Source organism: Homo sapiens, chromosome 15 (assembly GCF_000001405.40).
Source record: "Homo sapiens chromosome 15, GRCh38.p14 Primary Assembly".
Classification (NCBI taxonomy): domain Eukaryota; kingdom Metazoa; phylum Chordata; class Mammalia; order Primates; family Hominidae; genus Homo; species Homo sapiens.
Genome location: NC_000015.10, coordinates 40,481,344 through 40,495,561, shown reverse-complemented (window position 1 = coordinate 40,495,561; position 14,218 = coordinate 40,481,344). Strand labels below are relative to the sequence as shown.

Here is a 14,218-nt window from a genome sequence, read left to right as displayed (position 1 = left end):
CATGAATAGAGGTCTTGTTCATCAAGACAGGAATAGAGTACAAAAGCAAGGCTTAGGCTGTGTGCAGTGGCTTATGCCTATAATCCCAGCACTTTGGGAGGCCAAGGCGGGTGGATCATGAGGTCAGGAGGTCGAGACCATCCTGGCCAACATGGTGAAACCCCGTCTCTACTAAAATACAAAAATTAGCCAGGTGTGGTGGCGCATGCCTGTAGTCCCAGCTACTCGGGAGGCTGAAGCAGGGGAATTGTTTGAACCCAGGAGGTGGAGGATGCAGTGAGCCGAGATCGCGAGCTACTGTACTCCAGCCTGGTGACAGAGCAAGACTCCATCTCAAAAAAAAAAAAAAAAAAAAAAGAATCTGGCACCTCCTCCTCTCTCCCTTGCTCCCTCTCACCATGTGACATGCATGTTCCCCCTCCACCTTCTACTCTGAGTAAAACCTTCCTGAGACCTCACCAGAAGCTGAGCAGATTCTGGTGCCACGCTTGTAGAGCCTGCAGAACTGTGACCCAAATAAACCTCCTTTCTTTGTAAATTACCCAGTCTTGGGTATTCCTTTATAAGCAATGCAAAACAGACTAACACACTTCTTCTTCTCCTCATTTTTCTTGGGGAGAAAAGCATGAATTTTGAACATGTCTAATTGTAAGTACCTTTGAGATGCCTAAATGGTGGTGCTAATTAGCATCTGGATACATGACTCTGTAACACAGAGGGTGAGCCCTGGGCTAGGGATCTGTATTTGAGATCACTGGCATGTATGGTACTTGAAACATCAGGCATTTGGCCAGGCATGGTGGCTCACACTTGTAATTCCAACACTTTCTGGGAAGCTGAGGCAGGAGGATTGGTTGAAGCCAGGAGTTTGACACCAGCCTGGGAAACCAAGCAAGACCCCATTTCTTAAAAAAAAAAAAAGAATGAAAGAAAAAGAAAATTAGCCGGGTGTGGTGATGCACACCTGTGGTCCCAATACTCAGGAGGCCGAGGAAGGACTGCTTGAGGCCAGGAGTTGGAGACTCCAGTGAGCTATTATTGTACCTCTGCACTCCAGCCTGGGTGGCAAAGTGAGACCCCATCTCTAAAAAAGAGGAGAAAAAGGAAACATTGGGCAAGAATGAGAGAGTTGGGAGAAAACATACTGTAAGAGAAAGAGGACTGGGGAAGACCTTGACAAGCCTCAACATTCAGTGACTGAATGTAGGAAATAACCCACAAAAGAGCCAGAAGAGTAGGCAGGGGTCAGAGAGTGAAGAGTAACACTAGCAGAGAGGGCTGTCCAGAAAGCTAAGGGAGGAGGGTGTTTCAGCAGAGAGAGTGTGATTCTCAGGACTGAATCCTGCTGGGAGGTCAAGAAAGAAGCCTGAGGATACCCACTGAATCCAGTGAGACAGAGGTCACTGATGACTGTGGGGAAAATGATTCTATGGAGTGACGGGGGCTGGAGTGGAGGAATGAATAGGAAGTTCAGAAATGGAGACAATGCATATAAATAACTCTTTCTAGAAGCTTGGGTATTCTATTAGCACACGCAATTGTGACGTTGAAACCACTGTATTAGGATTCACTGAGGCGAATAACATATTTCAATGGAAAAAGAGCCACTGTTTGTCAATAGGAAACCCACATACTAAAATAGAATTGGTGCCCCTCTTGATGAATCTGTGGAGCACTGATTCTGGTAGGACTGCTACATATATCCTGACATCAACAAGACAAATGTTCTTCATTTTGGGTACATACCTGCAAACCTAAACAGCATGATCTATATGTACAGATGGTTTGGTAGACAATTACTGATACAGGGGCATTTTTAGCCCTTTGATCTACTAGGAACAGGAAGTGGCAGAAAAAGAGACTAATCACAGTGATGGATGTTTCATCAGAACTACTGACTCACAGCATGTATCAGCACCCAGTTCTTGCCACCATTGCCTGTGGCACTTCAAACAGCACGGAGACCACTTCAAAACCACAAGGCAAGGTCTGCTATGGAAACACAAGCATGCGGCATTCATTCAATCCACAAATGAGAACTACGAGGGAATGGGAGATTTGGGGACTGAAACACACTAAAACCCACACTTTGATACCTGATCATGTTAGAAGCAGGAGATTATTTCATTCTGGATCTCAATACTTGAGACATTTTGACCCATTTGAAGACACTGACAACATTCACTTGGTACTGAATAGTCATCAGCACACTTCTTTTATCTGTGTGCATATACCAAAAATCTCCTAACCCTAATTGCTGATATCTGAAGTTTCGGTTTCGGCGGCAGGCACCCCTCCTTTTATTTTATCCTTTTTACCTAGAAAGCAGATCCTGAAAAGTTGAAATACATGTCAGCAGAATAGAGAGTGTTTGAAACTTTCAAATTGGTGTTCATTAAGGCAAGTATCTCACTGGTACATCATATTGACAGCAGCAATGCCTTGCACTAAGAGCGTTGGTACTTAAAAACGGCTTTGGGCATGCTTGAAACATATGTACTCATAGGCTGAGCATATATTAAAGGGAAGGGTTTTCAGAGACAGTTATTTGACAGTGACAGCTATCTATATTCATACATCAGGTATTTGCTTCTCCCTATCTGTAAGCTCCTCTTTGGGTTTAAGAAACACACCAGGGGTGGCTCACACATGTGATCTCAACTTTGGGAGGCCGAGGTGGGAGGATACTTGAACCCAGGAGTTCGAGACCCACCCAAGCAACATAGCAAGACCTTTTCTCTACAAAAAAAAATTTTTTTTGAGCAAAGGCCTTCTCACTGTCGCCCAGGCTGGAGTACAATGGTGATCTTGGCTCACTGGAACCTCCATTTCCCAGGTTCAAACAATCCTCCCACCTGAGTCTCCTGAGTAGCTAGCTGGGACCACATATTCCAGCCAACATGTCTGAATATATATATATATATATATATATATATATATTTTTTTTTTTTTTTTTTTTTTTTTGGTAGAGACCAGGTTTTGCCATATTTCCTAGGCCGGTCTCGAACTCCTGGACTCAAGTGATCCACCTGCCTCAGCCTCCCGAAGTGCTGGGATTACAGGCATGAGCCACCGTGCCTGGCCCAAAATTAAATAATAATAATAATAATAATAATAAGCCAGGCATGGTGGCATGTACCTGTGATCCCAGCTACTTGGGAGGATGAGGTGGGAGGACTGCTTGAGCCTAAGAGGTCAGGGATACAGTGAGTCGAGACTGTGTCACTGCACTCCAGCCTGGGTGACAGAGTGGGACCCAGTTTGTTTTAGTCAGGGTTCTCCAGAGAAACAGGACAAATGGGATATATACATAACATAGAAAGATTTATCCTAAAGAGAAGCCCCAAGATCTGTAGTTGGCAAGCTGGGGACCCAGGAGTATCAAAGGTATAGCTCCAGTTGGAGTCCAAAAGCCTGAGAAGCAGGAGAGGCAACAGTGTAAATTCTAGTCTGAAAGCTGGCAGGCTTTAGACCTATAAGAGCTTATGTTTCAGTTCAAGTCTGAGGCAGGAAAAGACCAGGATCCCACTCAAGGCAGTCAGGCTGAAGGAGTTATCCCTTTACTTTGGAAGGAAGGTTAGCATTTTGGTTTTATTGAGGCTCTAAACTGATTCAATGAGATTCACTCACATTAGGAAAGGCAATCTGCTTTACTCAGTCTACTCATTCAAATGTTAGTCTCTTCCCAAAGCATTCTCACAGACACACCCAGAATAATGTTTGGCCAAATATTTGGGCATCTCGTGGCCCAGCCAAGTGGACATGCAAAATTAACCATTACAAAAGTAGAGCACAGGAAGACCTGCTGCTGCACCTAAAACCAACAGTCACTCATTCTACCTGCTAGTTCACAAGATTACATCCAACAATAGTGCTAGTAAGTACTTTATACAAATGGCTGCAATTTATAGAGTATGACATGCATTATCCCAATCTAAGTCTCCAAACCCCGTTCTACACATCCAGAAACCAAGGCTGCAAGAAGTGAAGCAATTTACCCAGTGTCATACAGACAAGTCATGAACTGTGAATCTGAACCCAAGTCTGCCTGGTTTCCCACTCTCTGCTGTTAACCACTATGCCAAGCACCCCGAGGAGATTATGTCTTTACAAGGATAGAGGAGGAGGTGTTCTATTATGTGGTACACAGCTAAACTGAATAATATTTACAGGGATTCCAAGCATCAAAATCTTCTTATGCATAGTTTGAAAAAAATTTAAAATAGTAGATAAGTGAGAAAGGATTTTTTTTTAGCGCAAACCAAAAATGGTCAATGTTTATTACAATTTAAAACTTGAGGCTGGGTGCAGTGGCTCACGCCTGTAATCCCAGCACTTTGGGAAGCCAAGGAAGGCAGATCACCTGAGGTCGGGAATTCGAGACCAGCTTGACAAACATGGAGAAACACGTCTTTACTAAAAATACAAAATTAGCCAGGAGTGGTGGCACATGCCTCTAATCCCAGCTACTCGGGAGGCTGAGGCAGGAGAATCGCTTGAACCCGGGAGGTGGAGGTTGCGGTGAGCGGAGATCACGCCATTGCACTCCAGCCTGGGCAACAAGAGTGAAACTCCGTCTCAAAACAACAACAAAAACAAACTTCAGGAAGTTGATTCTCCATTTCTATTTATTTATTATTATTATTTTTTGAGATACGGTCATGCTCTGTCACCCAGGCTGGAGTGCAGTGGCACGATCATGGCTCCCTGCAGCCTCGACCTCCCGGGCTGAAGAAATCCTCCCGCCTCAGCCTCCTGAGTTGCTAGGACTACAGATGCCCGCCACCACTCCCTGCTAATTTTTGTATTTTTTGCAGAGATGGGGCTTTGCCGTGTCTCTACAAAAAAATGAGACTTCTGGGGCCCAAGAAATCCACCCGCCTCGGCCTCTCAAAGTGCTGGGATTACAGGCGTTAGCCACCATGCCCTCCTGGTTCTACATTTCTGAAGTCAACAAATAATAGCATGTGGATTGTAAAAGCTGCGGTGCTTAATATTAAAGCAAGAGAAAAACAAAACTTTTTTTTTTTATTAAGATAATGTCTTGCTTTGTCGCCCAGGCTGGGGTGCGGTGGTGCGATCTCGGCTCACTGCAACCTCCGCCTCCCGGGTTCAAGCGATTCTCCTGCCCCAGGCTCCTGAGTAGCTGGGATTACAGGCGCCCACCACCAGGCCCGGCTAATTTTTGTATTTTTAGTAGAGATGGGTTTTCACCATTTTGGCCAGGCTAGTCTCGAACTCCTGACCTCAGGTGATCGCCCGCCTCAGCCTCCCAAAGCGCTAGGATTACAGGCGTGAGGCACCGCGCCCGGCCAAAAACCGTAACTTTTGGGAAAAAGAAAAAATACATTCAAAGGAGTACACATAAAATATATGCACAGTTCGAAGAGTAGTACAATAAAGGTATTGTATTACTTTAGGTAGAGGTAAAGGTACCCCCTCTACCTGGGCGGGAAGGCTGCCTAGGGGTTGGCGCCCAAGCACCTGGGGACCGGCTTCCTCCAGCGAGGCGCTGCTCAGTACCCGCTCTGATTGAGCCTCTCCGCAGGCTGGTCTCGAACTCCTGCCCTCAGGCGATCCTCCCTGGAGCCTCTCCTGGAAACAAGCAGTTTCCAGCGCCGGCGATGGCGGTCCGCCCACCGTCCCCTTTGTCTCTGCCAGTCCTGGGGATGTGGCTCCCCTCAGCAGGCACCACGTTTTCCATGGCTGAGGCAAGGACAGGCCTCCTGCCAGGAAACCCAACATGGTGAGAAACCTGGTTGACTCTTGGGCCTCACTTTTCTCACCACGGAACCCGAGCGCCGGGGGAAGAGTTTCCCTGTGCCTGGTTCCTGGTGTAGGGCTCAGTGGCGGAGAGGGGCGTGGCTGATGTGGAAGCCCGATTTTCCTACTGTCTGCTCGGAAGATTTTCACTTCTCCGTGCCCCCGGCATCTGTCTCATCCTCAAATCTGAGCTCTAGGTTGTCGCTGGGGAAAATCTCGGGTCCGCATATTTGTTTTTGGCTTTCTGGGAGGCGGGGAAGTCAAGCCGCCATTTTAAAACAGGAAGTTCCCTTTCTCCCTGAATCATCTCGGCTCAGCCAGAAGTTAGAAGATGGAGGCGGCACTGGCTCACGACGAATCCCAGCGATGTGGGATGCCCAGGCGGGAGGATCGCCTGAGGGCAGGAGTTCGAGACCAGCCTCGGCAACATGGAAAGACCCCCCCGCCCCGCCCCCTCCTTTCTCCCCCGTCTCTACAAAAAATACAAAAATTAGTCGGATGGTGTCGCGCGTCTGTAATCCCAGCTACTCAGGAGGCTGAGGTGGGAGGATTGCTTGAGCCCAGAAGTTCGAGACTAGCCCGAACAACATAGCGAGACCTCACCTCTACAAAAACAATTTTTTTTTTGGAGACAAGGTCTCACTCTGTCACCCAGGCTTTCGCCTAGGCTGGAGTGCACTGGCATGATCTTGGCTCACTGCTCCCTCCGCCTTGAGGGCTCAAATAATCTTCCCTCCTCCTGAGTGGCTGGGACCACAGGTGTGGGCAGCCACGCCTGGCTAATTTTTTGGTTTTGGGTTGTTGTTGTTGGGATTTTTTTCTTTTTTCTTTTTTTTTTTTTTTTTTTTGAGTAGAGACGAAGTTTCACCGGGTTGTCCAGGCTGGTCTTTGTAGTCCTGGACTCAAGCGATCCGCTAGCTTTGGCCTCCCAGAGTGCAAGGATTACAGGTGTGAACCACGGTGCTCAGCAAATTTTTGTATTTTTAGTAGAGACGGGGTTGCACCATGTTGGCCAGGCTGGTCTCGAACTCCTGACCTCAGGCGATCCGCCCGCCTCAGCCTCCGAAAGTGCTGGGATTATAGGCGTGAGTCACCGAGCCCGGCCGAAAAACATAACGTTTGGGGAAAGAAAAACATTCAAAGGAGTACACATAAAATATACCCACAGTTAGAAGAGTAATACAATAAATGCTCCAGTACCCACCCCCTCCGTCTACCTGGGGGTAAGGCTGCCTAGGGGTTGGCGCCCAAGCATCTGGGGACTGGCCTCCTCCAGTTCGGTGCTGCTGAGTACCCGCTCTGATTGGCTACAGAGCAGTTTCCAGGGCCGGGGATGGTGGTCCGCCCACCGTCCCCTTTGTCTCTGCCAGTCCTGGGGATGTGCCTCCCCTCAGCAGGCACCACGTTTTCCATGGCTGAGGCAAGGACAGGCCTCCTACCAGGAAACCCAATATGGTGGGAAAGCTGGCTGACACTTGGGCCTCACTTTTCCCACTACGGAACCCGCGCGCAGAGGGAAGTTTCCCCGCGCCTGCTGCAGAGCCCAGTGGTGGGGAGGGGCTTGGCAGATGTGAAAGCCCAGTTTTCCTACCGCCTGCTCGGAAGATTTTCACTTCTCCGTGGTCCCAGGATCTGTCTCATCCTCAAATCTGAGCTTCGGATTCTCGCTGAGGAAAATCTCCGGGCTGCATATTTGTTTTTGGCTTTCTGGGGGGCGGGGAAGTCAAGCCGCCATTTTAAAACCGGAAGTCCTCCTTCTCCCTCAATCATCTTCTGGCTCAGCCAGAAGTTAGAAGACGGAGGCGCCCACTGAGTTCATGCCTGGAATCCCAGCGATGTGGGATGCCCAGGCGGGAGGATCGCCTAAGGGCAGAAGTTCGAGACCAGCCTCCACCCCCCCACCTCACACCCCATCTCTACAAAAAATACAAAAATTAGTCAGACGGTGGCGCGCGTCTGTAATCCCAGCTACTCGGGAGGTTGAGATGGGAGTATAGCTTGAGCCCAGGAGTTCGAGACCAGCCCGAACAACATAGCGAGAACTCACCTCTACAAAAACAATTTTTTTTTTTTTTTAGACGGAGTCTCGCTCTGTCGCCCAGGCTGGAGCGCAGTGGCGCGATCTCGGCTCACTTCAAGCTCTGCCTGCCGGGTTCACGCCATTCTCCTGCCTCAGTCTCCCGAGTAGCTGGGAGTACAGGTGCCCGCCACCGCGCCCAGCTAATTTTTTATATTTTTAGTAGAGACGAGTTTTCACCGTGTTAGCCAGGATGGTCTCGATCTCCTGACCTTGTGATCTGCCCGCCTCGGCCTCCCAAAGTGCTGGGATTGCACGTGTGAGCCACCGCGCCCGGCCAACAATTTTTTTTTGTAGACGAGGTCACACTGTCACCCAGGCTGGAATGCAGTGACATGATCTCAGCTCACTGCACTCTCCGCCTTGCGGGCCCAAATAATCCTCCCTCCTCCCGAGTAGCTGGGACCACAGGTGTGGGCAGCCACACCTGGCTAATTTTTAGTTTTGGGTTGTTGTTGGGATTTTTTTTTTTAATTTAATTTTTTTTTTTTTTTTTTTGGTAGAGACGGGGTTTCGCCATGTTGCCCAAGCTGGTCTTTGTAGTCCTGGACTCAAACAATCCGCTAGCCTTGGCCTCCCAAAGTAAAAGTGCAAGGATTACAGGCGTGAGCCATGGTGCCCAGCGAATTTTTGTATTTTTAGTAGAGACGGGGTTGCACCAGGTTGGCCAGACTGGTCTCCAACTCCTGTCCTCAAGTGATCTGCCCGCCTCAGCCTCCCAAAGTGCTGGGATTATAGGCGTGAGTCACCGTGCCCGGCCGAAAACCTAACTTTTGGGGAAAAAAAAAAAAAATTCAAGGAGTACACATAAAATAAACGCACAGTTCGAACAGTAATACAATAAATGCTCCGGTACCCACCCCCTCCGTCTACCTGGGGGGAAGGCCTCCTAGCGCTTGGCGCCCAAGCACCTCCTCCAGTTCGGTGCTGCTGAGTACCTGCTCTGATTGGCTACAGAGCAGTTTCCAGGGCTGGGGATGGTGGTCCGCCCACCGTCCCCTTTGTCTCTGCTAGTCCTGGGGATGTGGCTCCCCTCAGCAGGCACCACGTTTTCCATGGCTGAGGCAAGGACGCGCCTCCTGCCAGGAAACCCAACATGGTGGGAAACTTGGTTGACACTTGGGCCTCACTTTTCTCACCACGGAATCCGCGCGCGGAGGGAAAGTTTCCCCGCGCTTGGTGTGGGGCTCAGTGATGGGGAGGGGCGTGGCGGATGTGAAAACCCGATTTTCTTATCGCCTGCTCGGAAGATTTTCACTTCTCCGTGCCCCCGGGATCTGTCTCATCCTCAAATCTGAGCTCCAGATTGTTGCTGGGGAAAATCTCGGGGCTGCATATTTGTTTTTGGCTTCCTGGGGGGGCGGGGAAGTCAAGCCGCCATTTTAAAACCGGAAGTCCCTTTTTTCCCTGAATCTTCATCTGGCTCAGCCACAAATTAGAAGATGGAGGCGCCCACGGGGTTCGTACCTGGAATCCCAGCGATGTGGGAGGCCTAGGCGGGAGGATCACCTGAGGGCAGGAGTTCGAGACCAGCGTGGTCAACGTGGAGAGACCCCTGTCTCCACAAAAATTAACCAGATGGTGGCGTGCGTCTGTAATCCCAACTACTCGGGTGGCTTAGATGGGAGTATCGCTTAAGCCCAGGAGGTCGAGGCTGCAGTGAGCCGTGATTGCGCCACTGCACTCTAGTCTGGGTGGCAGATAGGGACCCTGTCTCACCAGAAAAAGAAAAAAAAAAGTATGTGAGAACATTTAGTTGGAGACCAGTCTGGCCAACCTGGTGCAACCCCGTCTTTACTAAACATGTGTTTATCTACAGGAAACAATAAAAATGGCAAAGCTGGTTTAAGAGCTCATGTGAGTCTTTTAGAAACTTGTCTTTCCCAAAGCGGATTCAGAGGAACTCCACACTTGTGAAAGAGAGATTACCTGGTCAAACAAGTTGGGAAGAAGAACAGTGTATGTTCTGTTGTCTACACCTCTCACGCAAATATAGGAGACACATTAACGTATTAGGAAAAAGAAACATTCTGCAGTCATCTTTTAAATGTTGTGTAACTCTGGATTTCCCTAACATATTTGACCACCAAAAGTTTTCACGAGACCTGTCACCAGAATGCAACTTGTATTGTTCCTCTGGGGAAATGCTAGCACCTGCCTGGCTCAAGGTAGGCACTCACTAATGACCCTGGCAATGCATGAATGGTTTTCTGACCAGTGATGCTCGTGACAGCACACTCTGAATGGTAAAGTATCTCTACACCCCTGAGAAAAGTTGTGGCTCCAGAGGGAAAAGGAATGAGGACAAAGCCATAGCACTGTAGTCAAAGAGAGGGGCAGAGGGGGAAAACCAACACAAGATTGGCAAATTTGCTTTGTGGGTACAAGGAGGCATCATCCTAATGTTTGCAACATTATCCTAATGTTTCAGGTGGTGCTTTCCAGGAGGAAAGGAATGCCTTCAATTATGAAAAGTAAAGCATAAGATCTTGTTATTTCACTTGTGTTTTAACCAGCAAGAGTCTCATTAACAATTATTAAATTAACAATTATTTAAAAAATGTTACTGTTCCAATAGCAGTTTAAGAATACAAGCTACTGAGCAAAATGTGTAAACACATTGTGAAGCTGCTTCCTAACCTGCTGGACATGGCCAGGGAACATAGACACAAGTAACATTTTCATCACAAACACCTACACTTAGCAAGATTAGAGCAAGGACAAAAATGATACTGTCAGGCCAGGTGCGGTGGCTCACGCCTGTAATCCCAGCACTTTGGGAGGCTGAGGTGGGCGGCTCATGAGATCAGGAGACCAAGACCATCCTGGCTAACACGGTGAAACCCCGCCTCTACTAAAAAAATACAAAACATTAGCTGGGCATGGTGGCAAACACCTGTAGTCCCAGCTACTCATTAGGCTGAGGCAGGAGCATCGCTTGAACCCGGGAGGTGGAGGTTGCACCACTGAACTCCAGCCTGGGCGACAGAGCGAGACTCCATCTCAAAAAAAAAAAAAAAAAAAAGATACTGTCAGGGCTAGGCGCAGTGGCTTATGTCTGTAATCCCAGCACTTTAGGAGGCCAAGGCAGGCAGATCCACTTGAGGCCAGGGGTTCAAGACCAGCCTGGCCAACATGGTGAAACCCTATCTCTACTAAAAATACAAAAATTAGCTGGACGTGGTGATGCACGCCTGTAATCCCAGCCACTTGGGAGGCTGAGGCACAAGAATCTCTTGAACCTGGGAGGCAGAGGTTGCAGTGAGCTGAGATCGTGCCACCACACTCCAGCTTGAGCAACAGAGCAAGACCCTGTCTCAAAAAAAAAAAAAAAAAAGATACTAGCGGTCCAGAGAGGTGGCTCACCTATAATCCCAGTGCTCTGGGAGGCCGAGGCACGTGGATTGTTTCAGTCCAGGAGTTCGAGACCAGCTTGGGTAACATAGCAGACTATGCCTCTACAAAAAATACAAAAATTAGCCTGGTATGGTGGTGCATGCCTGTGGTCCCAGCTACTTGGGAGGCTGTGGGAGGATTGCTTGAGCCTGGGAGATTGAGGCTGCAGTGAGTGGTGATTGTGCCGCTGCACTCCAGCCTGGGCTGTTAACAGAGCAAGATCCTATCTCAAAAACAAACACAAAAAAATAAAAATGATACTGTCCAGTTCCTGTGAGACTTACAGCCTAAGATGATACACCACCAGAGAGCCAAACAGAAAAAGTCAAGTTTTGAGAAAAGTGGACATCCATTTTAGGACAAAATACTATCCATTGCAATAATCAGTTAATGTTCTCTATGTAATAAAGTCTTATATGAGTGTATAGATTAAGACAGCAGTATTTTCCCCAGAGTGTCACAATGCTAACTGAAGAATCCAACAGCAACAATAGTAAGTAATAATAAAGTCAGATTGGCTGGGCATAGTGGCTCACGCCAGTAATCCCAACACTTTGTGTCTGAGGTGGGAGGAATGCTTGAGGCCAGGAGTTCAAGACCGGCCTGGGTAACACAGTGAGACACCCCCACTTCTACAAAACAATTTTTAAAAATTAGCCAAGTGTGAGCCAGGCACGATGGCTCACGCCTGTAATCGCAGCACTTTGGGAGGCCGAGGGGGGTGGATCATGAGGTCAGGAGATGGAGAACATCCTGGCCAACATGGTGAAACCCTGTCTCTACTAAACATACAAAAATTAGCTGGGCGTGGTAGCGTGTGCCTGTAATCCCAGCTACTTGGGAGGCTCAAGCAGGAGAATTGCTTGAATCAGGGAGTCAGAGGTTGCAGTGAGCCAAGATCACACCACTGCACTCCAGCCTGGTGACAGAGCAAGACTCCGTCTCAAAAAAAAAAAAGAAAGAAAAAAAAAATAGCTATGATCATATCACTGTACTCCAGCCCAGGTGACAAAGAGACCCTGTCTCAAAAAAAAAAAAAAAAAAAGCTAGATATGTATTCCATGAGCTCCTTTGAATTTGATGCTTATTTGTGATTTCCCCTTGCATCATGATAAATCCACTACCCATGGCCATTACTCTTGACTTTGTGAAGTGTGGAATTAGGAGCCTAGACTGTAGGCTCCCGTGAACCCTCATATGTCTCAGCAGAGACCAGATAAAAATGCTTAGCAGCAGAAACACAAGTGTCAGGGGCCCTCAGCACCCTGAATGCCATCCAGGGATTCTGAGACCACAGGTTAAGGAATCCTGGTCTACCAATGGCATGTTCTGCAGAAATAGAAAAGATCATCTTAAAATTCATATGGAATCTAAGAGGACTCCAAATAGTAAAAAAAACAATCTGAGAGAGAAGAACAAAGCTAGAGGCCTCACGCTTCTGGATTTCAAAACATGACAAAGCTACAGTAAACAAAATAGTATGGTGCTGGCATAAAGATAGTCATATAGACCAATGGAACAAAATAGGGAGCCCACACATATATGGTCAAATGGTCTTCAGCAAAGATGCCAAGACTACACAATGGGGAAAGGGCAGTCTTTTCAACAAATGGTGCTGAGAAACAACATTCACATGTAAAAGAATGTAGATGGACTCTTACCTTATGTCATATACAAAAATTAACTCAAAATGGATTAAAGACCTAAACATAAGGGTTTAAACTATAAAACTACAAGAAGAAAACATAGGAGGAAGGCTTCATGACATTGGAAAGGGCACTGGTTTCTTAGATGTAACACCAAAAGCACAGGCCACAAAAGTAAAAATGAGACTACATCAAACTTAAAAACCTCTGCACAGCAAAAGAAACAGTAGTGTGAAGCGGCAACCTATGGAATGGGAGAAAATACTTGCAAAGCATATATCTGATAATGGGTTAATACCCAGAATATATGAAGAATTTCTACAATTCAGTAGCAAACAAACAAAAAACCCTGATTAAAAAGTGGGCAAAGGTCTTGAATGGACATTTCTCCAAAGAAAATATACAAATGGTCTACAAGCCTATAAAAGGCTAATCAGGGAAATGCAAATCATAAACCACAGTGAATTATCATCTCACATCCATTAGGATGGCCACTATAAAAAACAAAACAAAACCGAAAAACAGTGTTAGTCAGGGACCGTGGCACATGCCTGTAGTTCCAGCTACTCAGGAGGCTGAGGCAGGAGGATGGCTTGAGCCCAGGAATGTGAGTCAAGCCTGGGCAACCTAGGGAAACCCCGTCACAAACAAGTATTGATGAGGATGTAGAGAAATTGAAAACCTTGCACACTGTTGGTAGGATTGTAAATAGTGCATCTACTATGGAAAACACTATGGAGGTTCCTCAAAAACTTAAAAATAGAGCTACCATATGATCCAATAATCCCACTTCTGGGAATATAGCCAAAAGACTTGAAATAAAGATCTCAAAGAAATATTTGCATGCCCACATTCATTGCCACATTATTCACAATAACCAAGATGTGAAAACAACCTAATGTCCATTGTTGGATGAAAGAAAGAAAATGTGGTGTAATAATGAAATATTATTCAGCCTTAGAAAGAAGGAAATTCAGGTACATATTACAACATGGATGAACCTTAAGGACATTATGCTAAGCAAAATAAGCCAGTCAAAAAGGACAAATACTGTATGATTCCACTTATATGAGGTATCTAAAGTAATCATAGAAACAGAAAGCAGAGTGGTAGTTGCCAGGGGATGGTGGGGAGGGAGGGGAGATGGGGAATTGTTCAATGGGAATAGAGTTTCAGTCATGCAAAATGAAAAGGTTATGGAGCTTTACTGTACAGCAGTGTGTGTGTGTAGTTAATACTGTGCTGTACATTTTAAAATTGTTAAGAGGGTAAATTGATGTTACATGTTTTTTATCACAATTAAAACAAAAACAAAACTATGGTCTAGAAACATCCT

General features: G+C 46.9%; 1 annotated feature.

Annotated features, from left to right (window-relative positions):
• Window positions 5,767-6,418: an enhancer, noted in NCBI's record as "H3K27ac hESC enhancer chr15:40781343-40781994 (GRCh37/hg19 assembly coordinates)". NCBI's record gives its function as "activates a minimal SCP1, AML or CMV promoter by ChIP-STARR-seq in primed H9 embryonic stem cells {active_cell/tissue: H9 hESC(primed)}" and the evidence as "EXISTENCE:reporter gene assay evidence [ECO:0000049][PMID:30033119]".